The sequence below is a fragment of the Homo sapiens genome, chromosome 15 (genome assembly GCF_000001405.40).
Source record: "Homo sapiens chromosome 15, GRCh38.p14 Primary Assembly".
Classification (NCBI taxonomy): Eukaryota; Metazoa; Chordata; class Mammalia; order Primates; family Hominidae; genus Homo; species Homo sapiens.
The window spans coordinates 66,113,105-66,134,126 of record NC_000015.10 but is presented as its reverse complement, the minus strand read 5'-3'; the positions used below and the strand labels follow the sequence as shown (position 1 = coordinate 66,134,126).

The window sequence follows — 21,022 nt, the reverse complement described above, 5'->3', positions numbered from 1 at the left end:
CTCTCTGCTGGGCTTGAGAGTGCAGGGGACAGGACAGTCTCTTGACCCTGATTAATGGTGGCTGCAACCCTCATGGTACCATTTTCAGGATTTGCAGCCCGAGGCTTCCCAGGCAAGGAGAAAGCAGAATTTATCAGGGTGGTGGAGCAGGGACTTGGAGGGGGACATTTAACTTGTCTCAGGAGGTGACTCCAATCCCCGCTGATTTATCCCGGGGGCCAGGCACCTGGCAGAGACTCCACATTGGCGCTGAGAATTTTTGCTGTGCTCCTGCAGTCAGGGAATCACTCTTTAGGAGATTAAGAGCTGTGGATTTATTTTTAAAACTTTTTTTCTTTTTTTTTAAGTACAGGAAGATTAGAAAGCATTCAACATAAACCCAACCCCTGGTGGGATTGCTGCAGGGCAGGAGGCTTCATCAAGGCAAAGGACGAAGCTTCTTAATTACGAGGGCTGATCCAACTCCTCTTTTCATCTCGCACTAATCAGGCCCTAGCAAGGCCAGTAAATAGAGAGGGCTGGGGACTGGGAGCCAGCTGAGAGAGCCAGGGCAGAGGAAGGGGAAGGCCACTAGACGGGGCGATAACCTTGGCATTTGCCCCATTGTGTGCAAACTTGGCTTTTTGTTTTATTCAGAAAAAAGTAGAGAAGTGTGTGTGTATCTTCTATAATTAGAAGATAGAAAGCTCTTTCTCCACCCACATGCCGGGAGAAATGTGAGGCGTTTGCTTTATCAGCTCCAGTTTGGGGTTTGCTTCTGCTGCTTCCCAGACCTGAAAGCGCCTTTTCATGAGGCGTCTGGAACACCCAGTCCCCAACTGCAGCTTGAGCTACTGCCTGTGCTTCAATGCCTGCCTTGTGCTGGTGTGGGGAGCAGACATGCGCTGGTGCTGATGGGGTGGTCCAGGCAGGAGTCTTTGAATTGCTCTCAGGATGTCCTGGGTGCCCACTGTACAGTATCTGATGCCACCAGATTGGTGTCTCTGCAAATGCAATGTTAACACAACATGGAATGCCTTGTGCAGTGTGACCTGCTGTTGGGATGGGTCTTTGGTGTCCTCTCTCGGGCCAGACACAAGCAATGTGGCTGATCCTGAGGCTTGGGATGGTTGAGAGGTTGGGGTGGAGGTTGGCTGCAGAGTCAGTAATCAGTTGACAAAGATGTCTTGAGCTGCTGTATGTGCAGGCAATGCTCTTGGGGCTGGGGACATAGCGGTGAACACAAGAGATGGAAACCCCTGCCCTCATGAAGTATATGTTCTAGTGGCATGGTACAAGGGGAAGGAAATAATCCTTAGGTCCTAGGGTCCAGAAGGAAGAGCCAAGGCCATATCTAAGTGGTAAATATAGGAGGGGAGAAATTTCCAAAGTGGTAACACCTGTTCAGCAATATAGGCACGGTACATGGCACCTGTGTTGTCCCTCCCCAGAGTTTAAGACAGACATTACTAATCAATCCTGGCAAGCTTTCCCACTCAGCCCCCCTTCCTCAGCACAGCATTCTAAACAGCCACTATAATAGATCCCCATTGTTGTGGGAGTGGGAACTTCCCTGGGCCCACAAAATAGTGTCTGACTGCTGCCACTCCTGCCGCCAGTGCAAATATGTTGAGAAGCAAAGGATCACGGGAAGATGGACTGGGATTGACAGAGAGCAGGCTGCAGGCACGTTGGCCAGGCTCCAGGCTCCAGCGTCCAAGATTTAGGCACAGTCAGGAGGATGAAGCCAGTGGTGGAAGTGAAGCAGGTGGGGTAGGATTTTTGCTTAGATGGATCTTAAGGCTGTAACAGCTGATCCCAGGGCAGAGGCCATCTGTCTGTCTGCCTTCTGCCCCAATTTATGCATCTTGGATAATGTGAGCAACTAATGTCTGGACAGGTGTGTGCTGCCACCAGAGAGAGAGACTGGCCTCCACAGGTGCTGGTGCTAATGATGGCAGGGTCCTAGGCAGAGGCAGGGGCCTCCAGAGGATGCTGCCATCTCTAAGATCTGCTCAGCCAGCAAAGCCGATCCAGGCCGGAGCAGAAGCCCTGGACAGGAGGAGGGATCGTTTGCTATGATGCCAGTGTCCCTTAAGCAACCTGGCGGCATTTTCCTTTAACACCAGGTGCCAGGCATAAGAGGCCCTTGAGTGTTAGAATAGACAAGTGCATGCAGACTCTCAGGACACAGCTTGACATGCACCAGGCCTTTCTTCAGACTTGGTGTTGAGGGAGGGGAGCAGAGTTTCCTAAGCCGCTATCATCAGGAACACCGCTCTTAGAGCTGTGTCACTGGGAAGAGTTCCATGGGAAATATTGGGTGAAATAAAAAGTCAAATGGTCTCTTTATTTTGGGTCTTCTCAGAGTCTAAGCTATGCTAAAATGCTTAGACTGAATATTTAGGATGAGGACATAGCGAGCAGCATTTCCTGAGCTTATTCACCCTTGGAGATCTTTGTCTGAGAGATTTCTATCAATGTCTCATGGGACTAGTGTTCCACAGAACCCAGCTGTAGAGAATGCCCTCCAGAGGTGCCCATGCTGCCCACCACTGTACTGCAGTGCAAGCTCTCCGCTGTCTGGTTCCTCCAAAGTTCCTGCACATTCCTGCCTCCACACACTGCTTGGGCTGGACCTGACCCAGAAATGCCCTTTCTCTAGCCTCCACCTTTGCATACACCATCCAGTCCAAGTCCCACCCACTCCACAAAGGCTTTCACAGCTCTGCCAGTGGGACTTAATCACTTGCTGCTTTGAGAGTCCTCAAGTGCACTGCAGCTGATGGCATCTTATTTCTTTGTGTCCTCCACAGCACGGCCCAGGCCCGGGCAGGTGGTGCACCAAGAGTGCTCAGTTTGGGCCATGGCCCATGGGTGGCCATGTGGGCTGACAACACCCTGTCTGCAGGTGTGAGAGGTACGCCTCCTGGGCACTTTCTCTTCCCTTTATCCGCCCTGCCCAGTCCATCAGGGTTTGTAAAGCAGCCATGGTGCCCGATAAGGAAAGAAAATTTTCCACCTCTGCAACTTCCTCTGCTCCCTAATATGTAGAGAGCTGGACCAGAGGGAAGAGAACCAGCAGATCTATTTACATGGACTCTTCCCCTGAAGTGAAACCAGGGGCATTTTCTTATTTAATTATTAATGCCCTAAATCAGATGGTGCCCAATATGTTAACCTCTGTCACTCCAAATGGAGTTGGCCTAATAATCACTGCAGCACGATTGATTTTCCCTCAGTCATCTCATAAGCATATGTCTTTGGGATCTGTCCTCAGAGAGATCCTGGAAAAGTCCCATTAAAGTTAATGGGGATGAGTTGCCCCCATGTGGTGATGGCTTCTTTCTTCACTGCGCCTGAGTGAAGTATCGGAGACAAGGAGAATTTCCTTCCTTCCTTCCTTCCTTCCTTCCTCCCTCCCTCTTTCTTTTTCTTTCCTTCTTCCCCTCTCCCTTCCTTTCCTTTCCTTTTCCTTCCTTCCTTTCTCTTTATTTCTTTCCTTTTTTTCCTTTTCTTCTTTCTTTCCTTTCCTTTCCCTCTCTCTCTTTCTTTTCATGAGGATTTTAAAATCTCACAAATTACAGCAATGATCCAAGTTACCTCTCTCTCCCATCACATGGGTCAAAAGGGACCAGAGGAACAATCTTCTCCTGTCCAGGTGGCCTCATCTTTTGATACTCTTGGTGTAATAAGTTTGAAGATGCTGTCAGGAGGTTCTCTCGGGAGAATGCTGGAGATTATAGGAGTGGCCCAAGTAATGAGTCAGGGCCACAGAGAGAATCAAGACAAGGCAAGGCATCCCCTACAGCTGGCATTCAGACTCCATGCCTTCTGGAACTCTGTGTCCCATTGTTTATTTCTTTATTTGATGCCTGATTAGCCCAAACCCCACTTGGAAGAAGATGCTTGTTCCACTTTTGACTCTCCGCATAGCTCAATGCCATGTCCCGGGCAGGCTCTTTCTCTGCTCTAGGTTGAATCTCCCAGAGGAGAATGGATTGAAATGATCGCTGAGCTCCTCTGCAGCCCTGGCATTGCACAGACTCCAGTTTGTGTGGAGCCTTCTGAGGTGCTCATTGGGTCTCTGGGGATGGAGGAGTGGGCTAGGGGGATTGGGTGGGGAGCTCTGAGCAGCTGTGCTTTGCATACTCCTGGACTCTGCACATTGAGCAGAAACACCAGAATCGCTCCCCTCTTTCTGATTTTCAGAATGCATTCATTTGAAATCTGGCTAAATCTGCATTTCAGTCAGATGATTTCCAGATCTCAAACAGGAACACCTCATTAATCATTAATTTAGACCCCCACGGTTATACAGAATTGGTGACAATTTGTTTATCTTTGAAGGAGCTGCTGAGAAAGAGTTTAACAAGGAAATCATTGTGGAGCGAAGGAGAGTGTTTGACCTTTCAGAAGAATGGCACTCCATTTAGCTTCCCTGAGGGTACAAATGGGGGTGTGTGCAAAATACATGCCGGCTTGTATCTGTTCTCCTAAGTAGGTTGAGCGCTTCCTCATCTGCGAACCCAGGGCCAGCGGGATAGATCCCCAACCATTTCAAGCCTGTGACCCCTTTCCAATGTCAAAATATTTTCTATGACACCCCCACCCCCAGTTATTAGAAGTTGTAATTTTTAGTGTTGCTGATTAAGAAGAAAAGCTACTCTGAATTCAGTAAAGCTTTTAAATAAATCACGATAGCATCTATGTACACATGAAAAATAGTTCTGTCTTTCTGAGTCGCAGCGTTCATTCAGCCTACAGATGATGTTTGGGTGCGTGTGATTTCCAGCTCCTCTGCACCCCTCAAGGTCAGCGACCCACCAGGTCGCAACCCTTGGACTGGAAGTTCTCTGAGGCAGGAGGACCACAGAGTCCTGGAGTGCCAGGACAGGAAGGAACCTCAGGAGGCACTTCAGCCACTCCCACTGGAAAGGTTGTCTGCCCTCTGTGAGGACCCCCTTGTTGGGGACCCCAATTTAGTGAAGCAAGGGAGTTGGCATCCCACGTAGGCACATACCTGCCATAGGCTGTCACTTCAGGGGCCTGGATCAAAGCCTGCAAACTGATTCCTTACGGTCCCTTACCAGGTGGTCTAGGCCTGGCATCCCTCAGTGGGAATGGCATGTGATGACTGCATCACTCTGGGCAGAAGTAGCTGATACCCCATAGGAGACAGAAGAAGCAAGATCCAGTCTTCCATGGCTTGTGGGCCCAGAGCTCAGGGTTTTCTTGGCTCATTTCCCCCCAGGTCCACACCAGACATCTTTTTTCTCTTTCTCCTTGGCAGGAGGGAGTAGGGAAAGGAAGTAGATGGGCAAAGAATGTCAATGATGAGGGATAAGGGAATGGGGAGGGCATTCCCTTTAAAGCAGTCCAGATCTGGGGTCCCTGGGTCCAAGGATGGGCCCGGGGGCCTGAGGACACCCTGCAATTATAGCCGATTTTGCACTTGTGGGCATTTTCCTGGAGAGAACATCTATACCTTTCACTGGATTCTCAGAGCAGTCCCTGAGTCAAAAAACATTCAGAACCCCTGGCCTAGAATTTGGACTTTTTCCTGACTCAGGCTTCCCACTCTCCTGTTACTCAGAACCAGTGAACTGTTACAGTGTTAGTCAAAGCCTGCAATGTGAAATATCAAATGCTCATTACCCACGACGATGGGAAACTAAGTAGTTGCCAGGAACATGGTCTGATCACAGACGCAGCCTCCTTTGTTCTCCTGTGCAGGGCCCGGGATGGTGCTCTCCCTGACGGGGCTCATTGCCTTCTCCTTCCTGCAAGCCACCCTTGCCCTGAACCCCGAGGACCCCAACGTGTGCAGCCACTGGGAGAGGTAAGGTGTGGGCCTCAGATGGCCAGGCACTCTCTGGGGGATCGCCCTGGGCATGGCAGTAGGGGACAGAGGCAGTCAGGAGATCCAGGAGCTGCCCTCTAAGGGTCTGCAGCCTGGCTGGGGAGATGGCCCACATGCTGAGAGACAGGACAGAGATGTGTAGATTCTGTCTGGAAGGTCAGGGTGGAGGCAACTCACATTAACTTCAGTTACGATGCACTGTCCTACCCCTCCCTGCACTAGCACTTCCCAGCCATTGCACAGATGAGAAAGTAGAGACACAGAGGGGCTCAGTCCCTGTCCACAGCCAGATGGGGTGCAGTAAGTGGGGGGATGCGGACTTTGGTCCCAGGTGGCATGCTCTCTGATGCTGTGATGCCTTTCCTGGTCTCCCAGGACTGGCAGCCCCGTGGCAGCTTGGATGTGTGGCCCCAGCAGCCTGCCCTGAGGAGGACGGGTGAGGGGGTCCCACTACTTCCAGTCTGGTGGGGGCAGGGTGTTGCTGGGGAAGGGTGGCCAAAGCTGCAGCGGAAGAGCGGGCTGCATTCCAGCTGCGGCGCTAGGTCCTGGGGGAATGGGCCGGGTCCCTGCAGACGGCCTGACTTTGAAGCACAAGGTTAAAGTATTGACTTTGGTGAGCAGAAAGACAGTGACCAGAGACCCAATCAGGAAAAAACCGAATTAAACCCCGGAATTGATTGGCCATGCTGACCAGGATGACTCTGCCACTTACATGTTAATAAATCAAATGAATAAAATTAAGATGAGGGCCCTATGGGAGAAGTGAATGGTAGAAGAAGAAAGGCGGGGGACTCGGAGCGGGGGTCCGTGCTTCATGCCCATGAGGGTGGATAGCCCAGCCCTAGGGCAGGGAAAGGCACCTCAGCCAGGCAGGACCTGGCTCTGGGGTAGCCTGGACACTTGTGGGTCAGGAAGGATCAGCTGGGAGGCAGAGGGACAGTGCCTGCACTTGTGTGATCCCTGGAGACCAGATCCTGTGTGTGGTGTCCCAACAAAGTTGAGGATGGAGCAAAAGGCAGTACTGTGGTGTGTCCCTTTTTGGTGAAGTGGGAAGAAAACAAGATCCGTGATGAGAAGACCTCAGTTCATTCCAATCTGGATTTTTCCACCTCTAAGCTGTGTGACTCTGGGGAAGTCTCTGAACGGCTCTGAGCCTACTTCCACCTCTGTAAAGTGGGGAGAATCATTATCCTTGCCTCACAGGCTCATTGGAGGATCAAGGGCAGCCGTTTCACAAAAGTGCTTTGAGGGCCATAAGCGTCAGTTACTGTCTTTTCTTGTTGACAACTGTGGCTTTGCAGGAACTGGTTATCATGGACCTTAGTGCACATCAGACTCACGGGAGGTGCATTCGAAAAAGTCTCCTGGGGCCTATCCCGGAGATGCTGATTCAATATTGCATTTTTCATAAGCTTTCTACGTGATTCTGAGGTTACTCAGGCCCCTTGCCCGTTCTGGCTTTGGTGAATTTAAACCTTTATTTCCCAGTGGGTCAGAGAGGTATCGGGAAGAGCCCCACGTTATTCTGTGGGTTTTGGACTCCAGCCTCAGAGGACCCCTTTCATCCCTCTGGTCCTGTTAAGACACACCTGCTTCCTGCTACTGTCTCTGCTGCCTCACAGCCCCTCGAGTGCCTCCTTTGCAGCTGCTCACCTCTGCCTGCCCTAGTGGCTCTATCCAGAGTCCCTCTCTTCCAGGGAGCGTCCCCCACAGGGAGGGCCCCCTCTGACTTCTCTCTCTGTCTGAGCCCCATTTGTACTCACTAATTTTGTACACCTGCCCAACATGAATACATTTGGAATGTGAAAATATTCTGAACTGAGCTGAACTGAGCTGGCATTTCAGGCTTCTTAGGCTATCAGCCAGGGTTACAGCCTGGATGGGAAGACAAGGAGTGAAACCTAACAGCTGGAATGAGGTCTGGGGACTCTCTGGGCTTCTCCGGCCCCAAGGGGGAAGGCTTGTGGGCGATGCCTGGTGACACCAGGTGCTTTCTTCTTCTCAGTCTTTCCAGCTGAGCTCCATTGTAAGTTATATGTGGAGGGATCTAGCCTGTGTTGTTCCAGAAACACACCCCGGTCCCTGGAGACCACTTAGGGAGAATTTCTCAGCTGGATTAGTGCTTCTGGCGGCTCCTCATTAATTATGCCCCTCCACCATAAAACCCAGTGTAAAGACCTCTCCCGGCTAGTAAAGCCTGGCCGTCCAAGATTAATCTGGCCCCTCATTAGCATGTTAGCAAATGAGCAGTGTTAAGCCACCCAGCCATGAAACCAGGGGTACACACTTCGGGTCAGAGAACTTGGAGTTGGTACGAGGCCTGGTTGCCAGACTCGTTCGGCCCAGGGCATCTTGCAAAGCCTGGTCCCTGCCCTGTGACTGCCCCCTCCAGCCCTCTGCTGGGCTTCTCTCTGGGCATCCAAGGTCTATGTTAGGGCTGAAAAGGGAGGCTGGACCCCAAAGTGCTTAACAAAGGTGGGGAATCCATTCTGTGTGTTGGTCTTGCTCCCTCTCTCCCCACCTTGGTCAGGGAGGAAAGATCCTTCAGTGCCTAGCACGGGAAGTGAATCATTGCCTGTCAACATCTATTAAACACTTACTGTTTAAGCATGTTACGTGTATAGTGTATCTCGTTTTATTTTCCCACTGCCCTGAGAGATAGAGAATATTACTGCCCTCCTTTAATCCTCACAGTAACCACACAACCTGGTTAGACTTACAGGTGAGGAGACAGAGGCTTATATGAGTCAAACAACACATCTAAGAGCATGCTGCTAACAGGCAACAGGCTTCAAACTCGCCCTCCTACTGCCTCCGCGTTTGGATTCCAGGGCCCGTGCACGCTCCCCATTCATCCTCTTGCTCTAAGTGAGGCATTCAGGAGATGTGCTGGAGCAAAGATTCATGCGATCCCAGAGCTGGAAGAGGACTCTGGGTGGCTGGAGTGAGGCTCGAGTTGCCTCAGTTTCCCCAAGCCTGGAGCTAAAACAGGGTTTGGGCTGTTTTTTTCCTAGATGTGTGCCTCTGAGGCATATCTCAGGTGTGCCAGCTGGTGGGGGCACACCGAGAGCCCTCCTTACATCCCCAGTGCTTCAGAGAAACAGAATTTCCCACCACCCAGGCCTCTGAGCATTGTTGACTGCTTTTGGCCTCCTCCTTCTGGATGCCAGACCTTTGACCTTTCAGGCATCAGAGAGCCTACCGTGGACCCACTTGGGGAGCTGGCCTGCCCAGCCCCCTTGCAAGGTAACCAATGCAGTTTCCTCAGGCAAGGCAGACGTGCTTTACAGCCTGGACCCGGCCATCTGGCCCAGGTCAGTGAGCCTTCTGGGAAAAACACTGAATAATACCAGCCTACATAGAAATTAATTCCTTAGATCTCAGCTGAGGTCCTCTCTCCAGCCTGCTTAGGAAACATGAGTCCTCACTTCAGCATCCTGGCTTGAATGACACTTCATGCAACCCCTGCCAGGGGCCAGCAGGTAGAAAGGCTTATTTTGGTTAAGCTGAGATCTGCTTCCCTGTGGCTTCCACCTGCTGGTCCAGGTTTACAGCTAACAGGCAGGATGACAAAAACCAATTCTATCAGGGACATATCCTCAATGTACCCCCAGCTATACTAGAGGCAGAATAGAGTAAAAGGTAACTGGGGGAGCTTGTGGAAGCCACTTATGCCCCCTGATGCTCAGTTTCCTGGTCTGTAAAGTGAGAACAATTCCACCTGCCTAAGATTGTGAGGAATGAAACGTATTGAAACACTTGACACAGGGTGCTCGATAAATGTTAGCACCTATTGATACTGCAGTGTGAGCTGGGCAAGTCACTTTTCTCTGAACCTTAGTTTCTTCCTCTATAAAATGGGGCCACTTACTTCACAGAGTTGCTGCAAAGACCAGCTTCCAAGCATGTTCTTTGAAAACCATAAAGATATGAACAATCACATATTTTTAAACTTGTTGGCTCTGCCTTCCAGAGCCACACAGAATAAAACTACCCCCCGCTTCTTTATTCATTCTCTGTTAAATGAACAAATGAACTCGAATTTTAGAAAATGATCTGGGCCAAAGGTCAGTAAATATGTCCTGGGGCCAACCTGGGGTCGGGGAGGCTGGAATATGAGGGCATTCAGGGCAGGGGGAGGATAGTTGGGAGGGGGGAGGTCAGAGCCTCCGGACACTTGGCTGTGGAGCTTGGCCTCAGGGCTGTGGGCTCAGATGCCCTGCGGAATATCAGCTCAGCTTCCCAAGTGCTAATCATGGCTCCTATCTCCCATCTGGTTCTCAGCTATGCTGTGACTGTCCAGGAATCGTATGCACACCCCTTCGATCAGATCTATTACACACGATGCACAGACATCCTCAACTGGTTCAAGTGCACCAGGCACCGGTGAGTACCTCTCTCAGATGATGGGGCAGGGAAAAGGCACTGGGCTCTCAGGGCTTGCCTCTGTGCAAGTTAGAAAAAGGCCGCTGGAGCAGATGTTGTCACGCGCCTCCACTCTGAACACCCAAGATGCTCTGCTGATGGCTTCTTTCTGGCCAAAAGAGCTTGCGGGTAGTACAGGCCAGCAGTGCTGGAGAGTTAATGCTCTTGAGGGCATCCCTCAACCAGGGATGGGGAGATGGGGAGGTGGTGGATAACTACCCCAACTTCCTCACACTTGGGATGGCAGGAACATCTCTTAGCCATGTTCTACATGTATCCTAGAAGTCTCCAGTGATGGAACCCCAGTTGCCGTAGAAGTAACCTGCTCAATAATATACCATAGATTGGCTGCCTTTACTTCCCTGTCTCACTTTTCCATCCTCCTACCGGTACTTCCTAGGATTGCCTCCAAAATAAACTACTTGTTCTTGAATCCTTTTCTTAGGGTCTGCCTTTGGGGGAAAACCCAACCTAAGACAGCCCCCTGCCCTGAGCAGATGTAGCCCCATATCAGGGCATCTGGCTTGAAGAACAGAGTGCAGGCTAGAATTCAGCAACCTCTCGGCACCTTGACCAGGCTTTCCTTAGCAGTGCTCAACATGAACAACTGCACATGGCAGTCTTGTACCCTTGTCTGCAGCCCTCCTGCAGATTATATGTTATCATGTCACTCAGGGAAAGGCAAGAGGAAGGAAGAAACAACATGCTTTAAGGGATGACCCTGGGAAAGACACTTTATTTTGGGATTCCCAGTGTACTCATCAAACTTAATAATCTGGCCAGGCACGGTGGCTCACGCCTGAAATCCCAGCACTTTGGGAGGCCGAGGTGGGCGTATCACAAGGTCAGGAGAACGAGATCATCCTGGCTAACACAGTGAAACCCCGTCTCTACTAAAAATACAAAAAATTAGCCGGGCGTGGTGGTGGGCGCCTGTAGTCCCAGCTACTAGGGAGGCTGAGGCAAGAGAATGGCATGAACTCCGCCATTCAGGTGGAGCTTGCAGTGAGCCGAGATCATGCCACTGCACTCCAGCCTGGGCGACAGAGCGAGACTCTCTCTCAAAAAAACAAAACAAAACAAAACAAAAAAGCCTTAATAAACCTTGTTCTACCTACCCTGCAGTGTCCACGGAGGTCAGGAGTGTGAAAATTACTTTGAAAAATACAGGGGAAAATGGAGGAAAGTGTGAGATATTAGCCACATGTGAAGCGACACTATTTGAAGGGTGAGAGACTAGCTGTTGAAGGGTAAATAAGGTAGTAAGGGAGAGACCCCAGGGTGGGCCCTTTTCCTAGTTGCTGAATATCTGTTGATTCCAGATTTCTCCTTTGCTTTCTCCTATGAGCCCAGTTCCTCTTTGAGGATAATTCAGGAATCATGCTGGGCGGCAACATAGATGAGAAAACTCGTTCTGTGCTGAGAAGCCGAAGTCCTGGTTTTCTTTGAGGTTTTGCTACTAACTGGCTGTGAGACATTGAGCAGAGCTATGCTTGCTGCTTTAAAATCCTTGCCTGCTAATTCCAACATCTGGGTCATCTCAGGGTTGGTCTTCACTGATTGCTTTTTTTTTTCTGCATAGGTAGTTTTTTTTTTTTGACAGAATCGCACTCTGTTGCCCAGGCTGGAGTGCAGTGGCGCGATCTCAGTTCACTGCAATCGCTGGCTTCCTGGTTCAAGCAATTCTCCTGCCTCAGCCTCCTGAGTAAGCTGGGATTACAGGCACCCACCACCACACCCTTCTAATTTTTGTATTTTTAGTAGAGATGGGGTTTCGCCATATTGGCCAGGCTGGTCTCGAACTCCTGACCTCGTGATCTGCTCGCCTCAGCTTCCCAAAGTGCTGGGATTACAGGTGTGAGCCACCACGCCTGGCCAGTGTGTTTCTTTATATGCCTAGTAATCTTGGATTATATTGTGAGCATTATGAATGACATGGGGAGACCGGATTCTATTATGTTCCTCCAGAGAATATTAATTTGTTGTTGTTTGTTTATTTCTTTAGCGGCCTGGTTACTTGGCTAAACACAAATTCCAAACTCTGAAAGTTTAATATTTTTAGCATTAGCTAGGCTGCTTGGAATATGTCCTCCATAAGGATAAATCAGTGGCCAGACGCTTGGGCAGGGATTTTACAAAGATGTTGGGGCTCCCTTTTTGTGACTCTCACCTTTTAAGGTTTCCCCTTTCACCTGCTACCTGCTGGGTCCACCCTGGCCTTGTCCTGTGGTTCTTCAAACGAGCAAGGTTGTGTGTTTTCTATCTGAATTTTAGTTGCCCGGAGTATTGTTGTGCTAACTTGCCCAGGACCATTCCCTTCTCTTAAATGTCCACTTGCCTCCAGTATCAGCCTGCTTTTGTCCTCCCTCAAGTGCCTTCAGGTAGTTGTTTTGTATATTTCCCCCTAGATTTTATAGTTGCTATTTGCAGAAAGGTGGTCCAATAGGAGCAACTCAGCTATTACTGCATCCCCTTCCTCTAGCATTTGACTGTGGAATGAGGAGGTGGGACTAAATGCTCTCTTTCACCCCACCAATTTTGCCAGAGTTGGCTGCTTGCGGCCCTGGTCAAAGACAGAGGCAGAAATAGTAGTGCTGCTCCTCCCAAAGCCCTGGCAGACCCAGTGGGAGAGCCAAGTTTGCTCAGGGGTATGGCCCTTTTGGGTACTTGGAGGCTAGGGCTGCCATCCATCACCACTGAGGTGGTGGCTGCTTATTAAAATAGGCTGTATTCCTAGAACATGAATTATTTTGCTAAATTATTAAGTTGCCTTGCAGCTTTCCTGATGACCTAGAGTGTGCATGCTAACAGCTTGCACCCTCCGTCAGCTTTGGTTTGGAATGGCATGTTTTAACCCAGCATCCTTCCCCTGAGAGCAGCCTGGCACCTGGCCTTGCTTCCCTCTCTTGCTTTCCAAACTGCACAGGGACAAACAAAGATGGGTGAGCTAGAAACAATTGGGTGGCAACTCTTTCCTGAGGGGCGTTAATGATGCCCAGACCACCCCCCATTGCGGGGCTTGGGGATAATCCTGTTTGCTGGGGAGAACAGGCTGGATGACCTCTGAGTCGATTCTGAGTTATTCTTTACCTGAGAGGCTTATACAACCCCTGAAACTGTCGGGAGCTGCCTTCTGTGCTAGGGAAGTAGCTTTACTTTGAGGCCAGCTTTCCTTCCATTATGGGTTTTTGACAAAGTTGAATGACCTTAGCTTACGACATTCCCAAATATCACAGATTTCCCCAGAGTTCTGCACTGTCATTTGTTATGAAGTGAGGGCTTTAAGGTGTGGGAGGGTTGTCCCAGCCTGTATTACAGGACTCTCTTCCCAAGCTGGCCTGGCCCTCCATGGAACGCAGCCTATAGGCGTCTCTGATGACCAGACCCTGCTGCTGTGCTGCTGAGGAAGAGTCCACAGGGCAAGCTCCCCTTGGGTGCTGATGGAAAAGTGGAAAGAGGTCTGGCTTCAAGGCCCAAGGACTTGGGGTTGGGTCCAAGTTCCACTCCATGACCTTGGGCAGGTCACTTCCTCTCTCTAGTCTCTAGTAGCCACTTCAAATCTCTTCCACTTTGACTGTCCGTGTGAAGAAGGGGCTTTGCCTATGAATACCCCATTTTGATTTCCTTCTAAGGACTCAGTATTTCTTTTTACTTACTCCTTCACTGTGGCCGTCTGTAAGGCCAGAATCTACCCTGTGAAACCTGGTAGAGGGCAGTAGGTTAAGCCTAGCAGCTTTGAAATTGGAGTGAGCTAGGTTTGAATCCTGGCTCTGACCCTGATTAGCTGTGCTGGTCACTAACTTCACTAATTTTAGTTTTCTTATTCATAAAACAAAGGGTGGGGAGTTGAGGGGAACATAAAAAAATAGAATAAAAGCTCTAAAAGAGAAAGAAATAAAATAAAGGGGGATAGTAATGGTGCCTGCCCCAGGGAATGGAATGAGATGTTGATCATAGTCCCTCTGGCATGGGGCTAAGCCTTAACACTTGTGTCAGCGTAAGGTCTGGAACCCACATGTCTGACTCCCAGTGCTGCAGCTCCATGGGCCTCAGCTTCTTCCTTTGCAGGGTGAAGGGTCAGTTCAGGGCCTTCCCAGGGATGGCATGCGAGGCTCCTCTCCCGGAGGTGTTATTTTTGGTGTGGGGGAGATTAATCTACTCTCCGGGACTGAGTTGGACTCAAAGGGTCCTTTTGCTGACTCTGCCTCAGTTCTTCAAGTGGGGGGACCAATACTCAGGGGGCTGTGAGCAGTCTGGCTTGTTAGAGGGGTGGGACAGGGCGGGCACAGAAACCCTCAGGGCCTGACTCCTATCCAGGTCACCCCGTGGGCTCTTCAAGCCCAGAATCTGGGTGTTTTAAGGAACTAAGGAGAAGTTCATGGTTGCCCTCCACAATGTCACTCCAGAAAGTATCTTCTGCAGCCCTTCTATTTAGAAGTGACTGGGGAAAAGTCAGCAGGTTTAGTAAGTGCCATGTTAGTAATACATTCTGCATCACAACAGCCCAAATCCCACTATTGATTTTTTTATTGTGTTCCTTCATATTTGAAGTCGCCATGCATTTTAAAGTAATTATTGAATGGCATCCTCAATATAGCTTAACACAAATATCATTCTAAATGGGAGTGATTGATTTTCAATACTTTCAAGTGGCTTTCTCCCTTGTGCCTTAGGATCAGTTATAAGACGGCGTATCGGAGAGGCCTCCGGACCATGTACCGGCGGAGGTCCCAGTGCTGCCCTGGCTACTATGAGAGCGGAGACTTCTGCATACGTATGTAGGGGCTGCTGCTGTTCTGCCCTCAGTGGGGAAGGGAGGAGAGGCAAAAGGAGGGGAGGGGAGGGGAGGTGGGGCTGATATCCACGGCCCCTAGGCAGCAGTCCTCAGCCAGATGGCTCCAGAAGTCCCTGCCTGCTGCCAGTGCTCAGAAGGAATAATGAGTTTGGTGCAAATACAGTAGCAAGGGTTGGGCCATCAGATCAACCTCCTTACAGGGTGGATGGAAGTGCGTGAGTTCAAGGCCTTGATGGGGGATAGGGGAGAAGTGGCTCCTTCTGGAGTGGGCACTCTGAGAAGCAAGGGAGAAGAAGTGCTGGGTGCCTGGCACAGGGTTAAGATGTGCAGGTGCTCAAGACAGCTTTGCTGGATGGAAGGAGAGATGGATGGGTATGTAGATGGACAGTTGGATGGGTGGAAATGGGAAAGGGAGGAAGGAAGGCTGAGTTGTTGGATGTCAAAACCACAGTAAGAAAAGGATGGGGGCAAAGATGAGATGGACCATGAGGAAGTGGTTCCGGGAGCTGGGAGGATTTCCAAAAAGGATTTGGGGGACATTGGAGAAGAGGTGGGTGCATGAAAGACAAACATTGCCTCTTTTCCTATTTGCTTAGAGCAGCTCAGAAAATGCAGGCCTTAGTGTCCCCTAAGAAAGACAAGAGCTGAGTTGCTGGCAGCTGCAGGCCCTCTGGGAGAAGAGCAGTGTGGTGCAGTGGAGGCACCCCGGAGCAGGAGCCTGTAGATCTGGGCTTCCTAGCTATGGGGCTTTCGGCAAGACACTTAATCTCTCTGGGAGGATGATCGTAGGGTCCCTGTTGGGTTCTAAGGGACTCTTTCCCCACTCACCTCTGACCCAGTGACATGGGGCCAGTGGACTTTCCAGTGGGCCTTAGAAGGTTCCCTCTACTGTAGGAGAGTGTCAGAGGAGCTGGGAGGCCCTCGTTTAATGACTGAGAAGAGATTCCACCCCCAAAGCTTCTGCCTCTTCATTTGGAGAGCAATTTTCCTTGTTAGTATTCTCTTTGCCATTCGAGTGGGTAGAGAGAGTTCGCACCAGAGGGAAAATTTGGGCAGAGTGGGTGTGTTGATGTTGGGAATAAAATGACAATTTTCTCCTACTGTTGTTACATCTCCCCCAATGCTGGAGAAACTCAATTCTAATTGCATTACAAGAATGAATGAAAAATGTACCCTCCAATGGGTTCGGTAGTGATGGTTTTGTAGGAAAGATACAAAGCAGTTCACCTAAAAGGCCGTTCCTCAGGGGCAGGGCAGAGGACTGAGCTAGGATGAGGCCTTGGTCAGTACCTCACCTGGGATGGGGTAACTGAGACCCAGGTGTAGATGTGAGATCAGTACTAAGGCTTTCCTGCTGCTGCTCTGTCTGTATGGAGTAGTGCGAAATGAGACCAGGGGTAGGACACGGGACTCACAAAGCCTCAGGGACAGATGTAAGCGGCCCGCGCAAGCTCAGGGCCCAGTGATGGACTCAGGGAAATTATGAAGGGAGTTTGGACGTCAGCGCAGAGATCCAGGAATGGACGAGCACATTTCCTTTCTAATTTCCATTAGTGAACGGTGGCAAAGCTCTTGGAAAATGAAGAGCAGGGCAGAAGTGCTAAGCGTCCTGATTGCACAGGAGGCCCAGTCTTGCTGACTGGCAAGGGCAGTTTATACCTTCCGACTTACTCCTTATGTAACCACTGGGTACTACCTTCTGGCCAGGTGACCCTAGGACGGTCCACCAGGAAATCAAGCTCAAAAAGCCACTTTCAGGATGAAAGACTTCTAGGAGGGGACAGGAGAGTTCTGGCAGGGAGATGGGATGTGTGGCACCCTAGGTGCTGGTAGTAATGACACAGAATCACAGGGGTCTGGGTTTGATCCTTGCTCTGCCACTGCCAGCTTCTTCCTCTTTATCTTCATCATCTTCCCAGCACCTGCCACATGCCAGGCACCATTCTGATCACTTTACATACGCTGATCCATCTACTGCTCCCAACAGCCCTATGAGGAAGGTATCCTTATTTCTCTCATTTGACAGATGGGGAAACTGAGTCATAGAGCTTCTGTAATTTGCCCAAGATCACACATCTGGAAAGTGGCAGAACTTGGATTTGAATCCAGGCTGTCTGGCTCCAGAGTCTCTGCACTTGGATGGCTTGGGCAGGCTGCTTGTCTCTTCACGAACCTAGGCAAGGCTTTACCTCTCTGAACCTCAGTTTTCATTCATGTAAAATGGCAGTAGTAACACCTGCACTCACCAGGCACAGAGTGGGGGTTGAGTAAATGTCAGTTCCCTCCTCCATGGCATTGGTGCTCCACATTGTTTGAGTCCTGGCTTTTAGTTGCTCAAAGAGGCCCATGGACACTGTCCCTGGGAAAATGCATAGTACCTATATAAACATACCAACACACAAAGTCCTTTGCATTGAGTTCATGGGTTCATTGGGTTCATGGATCCCCTGAAACCCTTACAGGGTCCTTGTTGCATGGTAACGTTACCACATGTTCATGTTACCCATGCAGCATGTATTTGTTACTTCTTGCTACGCAAGATGCAGGGGCATAGATACAGATGATGGATAGTTGCTGCCTTCAAGGAGTTTCCAGCCTAGTCAAAGGAGGGGACTTAGAGTATGCTACAGGGTGTACTAGAAAGGTGTTTCAAGCCAGTATTTATTAAGCACCTACTATGGCCCACCCACAGTGCTGTGCTACGAGATAGAAGAGAAGAGTTAGAAATACAAATAGCCCCTGCCCTTGTGGAATCTACTTTCATGACGGGAAGGCGGGACTAACACTCAGTAAAATCATTCCATAACAGCCCAGAGACTGGATGTGAAAAAGGCTAGACAGAGACAGTCAAGCGCGGCAGGAGAGAATGCTGCCACCTGCTTCACGGGGCCTTGAGCTCCACCTTGAGGGTTGCAATGACGCCGTCAGGGGTGGGTGGGAGAGGGAACCCCATCAGCAAAGGCATGGAGGTGGGCGGTGAGGAGGCTGGCCAGACCCCAGAGGGCAGACCTGGGCTGCAGCGGGAGGTGCAGGTGGCTGGGTTGGGTGTGTCAATTGTCTAGGGTGGCTATTACAAAGTACCACAGGCTGGGCGGCTTCACCGGCAGCGGTTTATCGTCTCACAGTTCTGGGGCTCAGAAGTCTGAGATCCAGGTGTTGGCAGGGCTGCTTCCTTCCGGGGCTGGGCGAAGGGTCTGTTCCAGCCTCTCTCCTTGCTTCTGGTAGTTTCCTGGCTGCAACGGCAGGACTCTGATCGTCACATGGTGTTCTTCCCGTGGCTTCACATTTCCTTGTTATGAGCACACACGTCATAGTGGATTAGAGCTCACTCTAATGACCTCATTTTAACTTGATTACCTTTTAAGACCCTATCTCCAAATAAGGGCGTGTCTCAGGTGCTGCGGCTTGAGACTTTAACATAGGAAATCTGAAGAGGCTGGTGTCAGCTGTTTAAGACCCTTGATTGCCTTTTAAGACCCTATCTCCAAATAAGGGCGTGTCTCAGGTGCTGCAGCTTGAGACTTTAACATAGGAAATCTGAAGAGGCTGGTGTCAGCTGTTACCAGCATCCTCCTGTTCTTGTTTATTGTGATGGGAGGAAAGGGAGGGGGCACCAACTGGCCCCACATGGGCTTTGGCACTTGCCCATGAGAGAATGGAGACCCCAGGGTGAGGGAGCTTGTGAGAGGGAGAAATGGTAGTGAGAGGGTGAAGAATGATGCCAGGGCACTGGGGGACAGATGGGAGACTTGTGAGCCTGGGAGCATTCAGGGGCTGGTGCCTGCAGCCCTGCCCTGCGACTTGTCTCTCCAGATCGCTCAGAGGCCAGAGAACCTCCAACTTCACCAGAACCTGGTGAGAACCCATCGGATGCCAAGAGTTCTCTGGATCCTGCACAAGAACATCACCTGTGCCCTGGGCAGGGCGGGAGGATGTCATCTTCCCTTCAGAGTCACCTTCTGGGAGCCTTGTTTCTTGCAGGCTGACAAGGAGCAGGCCCGGGCGTGAAAGCCTTGGCTGACTCAGCCACCAACTTGCTCTGCAATCTTGGGCCAGTCCTTTGCCTCTGTGGAGCAGCGGTGACATAGGACGGACCATCCCTGTGTGTGGAAGGAGGAAGAGATGGAACAGGGACCCAGAGTGTCCTGGAAAACACAGAGCTCAATACAGATGCAGGGGGGCACTGTTTTTCTCCTCTCTGTACAATTTCGTCTGCCTTTGAACTGCCATTCTCATCTGGGAGCCCTCCTGAAACCATCCGTACCAGAGGTTCCCACCCACCCCTGCCCAACTCATACCTCTTTCCGCTTCCATTATCTACAGCTACAGCGGAGTCCTGGCCCACTTTGGTCACCAGGTATGAAATATTTCCTAGAGATCACTGGGCAGAAGTGCCTGCCTGCCTTCCTCCCTCCCTCCAAGCTTCCCTTTCTTCCTTCTTTCAGGACAGAGGCATTTTTGCCTCTGCAGATGGAGCTAGTTTTATGTCTTGCAGAAGCAGACTTTCACATATGTAGTAGAGTTTGAGGCATTTTGGGAAGCTCTGTTCTTTGAAAATATTAGTCTTGTATCAAACCAGATGATACAGGACTGAGTTATGAGCATACTGAGTTTTGCTGCGGTAACAGACAACGTCCAAATCCCAGTGGCTTGAAACAGTGAAGTTTAATTTCTTCTTCATATTAGGTGTCCGCCGTGGGCTAGCTAAGGCCTGCTCCTTGTCAGCCTCACCCCAGGTCCTAGGCTGATGGAGCAGCAACTCTCTGGAATGTTGCTAGTTGCTGTGGCAGAGAGAAGAGGGCTCTAATTAGTCTTGAAGGCAGAGAGGATCAGAAACATTTAGTGAGCAGTATTAGTTGCTATCACAAGTCCCACACAGATGGCCACGGTGCTCACAAACCACAACTCATTCGAATGTATCTTTGGTAAGCACTTAATAACAATATGAGACAGGTTCTGTGTGCTTGACTCCAGCGGTTCTCAAACGTGAGCTGCCGAACCAGAATCACCTGGGGGACTTGTTATACCACAGACTGCTGGGCCCCAGTCCCAGAGTCTCTGATTCAGAAGATTTGAGGTGGGGCCCAAGAATTTGCATTTCTAACAAGTTCCCAGGTGATCCTGATGGATGGGAACTACACTTGAGAACCACTAGGCAACGGTTTCTTTTTCTTTTTTTTTTTTGAGACAGAGTTTCGCTCTGTCGCCCAGGCTGGAGTGCAGTGGTGCAATCTCGGCTCACTGCAAGCTCCGCCTCCCGGGTTCACACCATTCTCCTGCCTCAACCTCCAGAATAGCTGGGACTACAGGCGCCCGACACCGCACCTGGCTAATTTTTTGTATTTTTAGTAGAGACGGGGTTTCACTGTGGTCTCGATCTCCTGACCTCGTGATCCACCCGCCTCGGCCTCCCAAAGTGCTGGGATTACAGGCGTGAGCCAAGGGTTTCTTTACTGACTCAGTTTGCGAATCTGTTACAAAGAGGCCCAGCAGGTGCATCCCCTAAGTACTCAGGGCTTCTGCTGCGGGCGGCAGCAGGGAGAAAGCATGCCTCACTGCAGCGGGCAAGGAGGGGGAGTCTATCTGCCCAATTCCCCGTCTCCTGTTTCCTTTTGGTCGACATAGTTTCCCCCCGGCAAATGAACTCCCTCAAGCTTCCAGGTGAAATCTTCTGGCCCTTTCAGTGGTGGCTTGGAATGCCAGAGGCCACCCTCTGCAGTATGGTTTTCAGGAAATCCAGAAGTGGAGGGATCCACCAGAAACTCCAGGCACGTATGCAGCTGATGGGCCCGGCTGGCTTGGGGAGCATAGGTTGTCCCCAGGGAAAGGGACTGTGCCAACCCTAGGAGGTGGTCTGCACATGGTGTCCGAGGGAGCCAGCAGCTGAGGGTCTGGGAGACTGGCCTCACGGGTGGACTCTGGTTGAGGGGAGAGGATTCTGGTGGGGGGTTGGGCAGGGG

The 21,022-nt window shown here is 50.6% G+C and overlaps 1 protein-coding gene across 23 annotated transcripts in view, besides 2 other annotated features; it reads left to right on the top strand.

The window, feature by feature from the left end:
• The window catches only part of MEGF11 (multiple EGF like domains 11), a 358,452-nt gene that overhangs the window by 119,624 nt on the left and 217,806 nt on the right, over nucleotides 1-21,022 (top strand). For 10 of the 23 annotated variants that reach the window (NM_001387150.1, XM_017022670.3, XM_047433168.1 and 7 more), the window contains 3 exons: nucleotides 5,694-5,821; nucleotides 10,127-10,228; nucleotides 14,941-15,041. In NM_001387150.1, the coding sequence (NP_001374079.1) occupies nucleotides 5,724-5,821; nucleotides 10,127-10,228; nucleotides 14,941-15,041 (301 nt within the window). In that variant the 5' untranslated portion in view covers nucleotides 5,694-5,723. Of the gene's footprint in view, nucleotides 1-5,693; nucleotides 5,822-10,126; nucleotides 10,229-14,940; nucleotides 15,042-21,022 lie in introns of those variants that run through there. The other 13 variants (NR_169558.1, NR_169556.1, NR_169557.1 and 10 more) reach the window with 3 other exon arrangements.
• Nucleotides 3,202-3,496: a silencer, noted in NCBI's record as "tiled region #9514; HepG2 Repressive non-DNase unmatched - State 13:Ctcf". NCBI's record gives its function as "represses a minimal TATA promoter and a strong SV40 promoter by Sharpr-MPRA in HepG2 cells {active_cell/tissue: HepG2}" and the evidence as "EXISTENCE:reporter gene assay evidence [ECO:0000049][PMID:27701403]".
• Nucleotides 18,170-18,409: a silencer, noted in NCBI's record as "fragment chr15:66408056-66408295 (GRCh37/hg19 assembly coordinates)". NCBI's record gives its function as "represses an EF-1alpha promoter that drives an FKBP-Casp9 reporter gene in an ReSE screen in K562 erythroleukemia cells {active_cell/tissue: K562}" and the evidence as "EXISTENCE:reporter gene assay evidence [ECO:0000049][PMID:32094911]".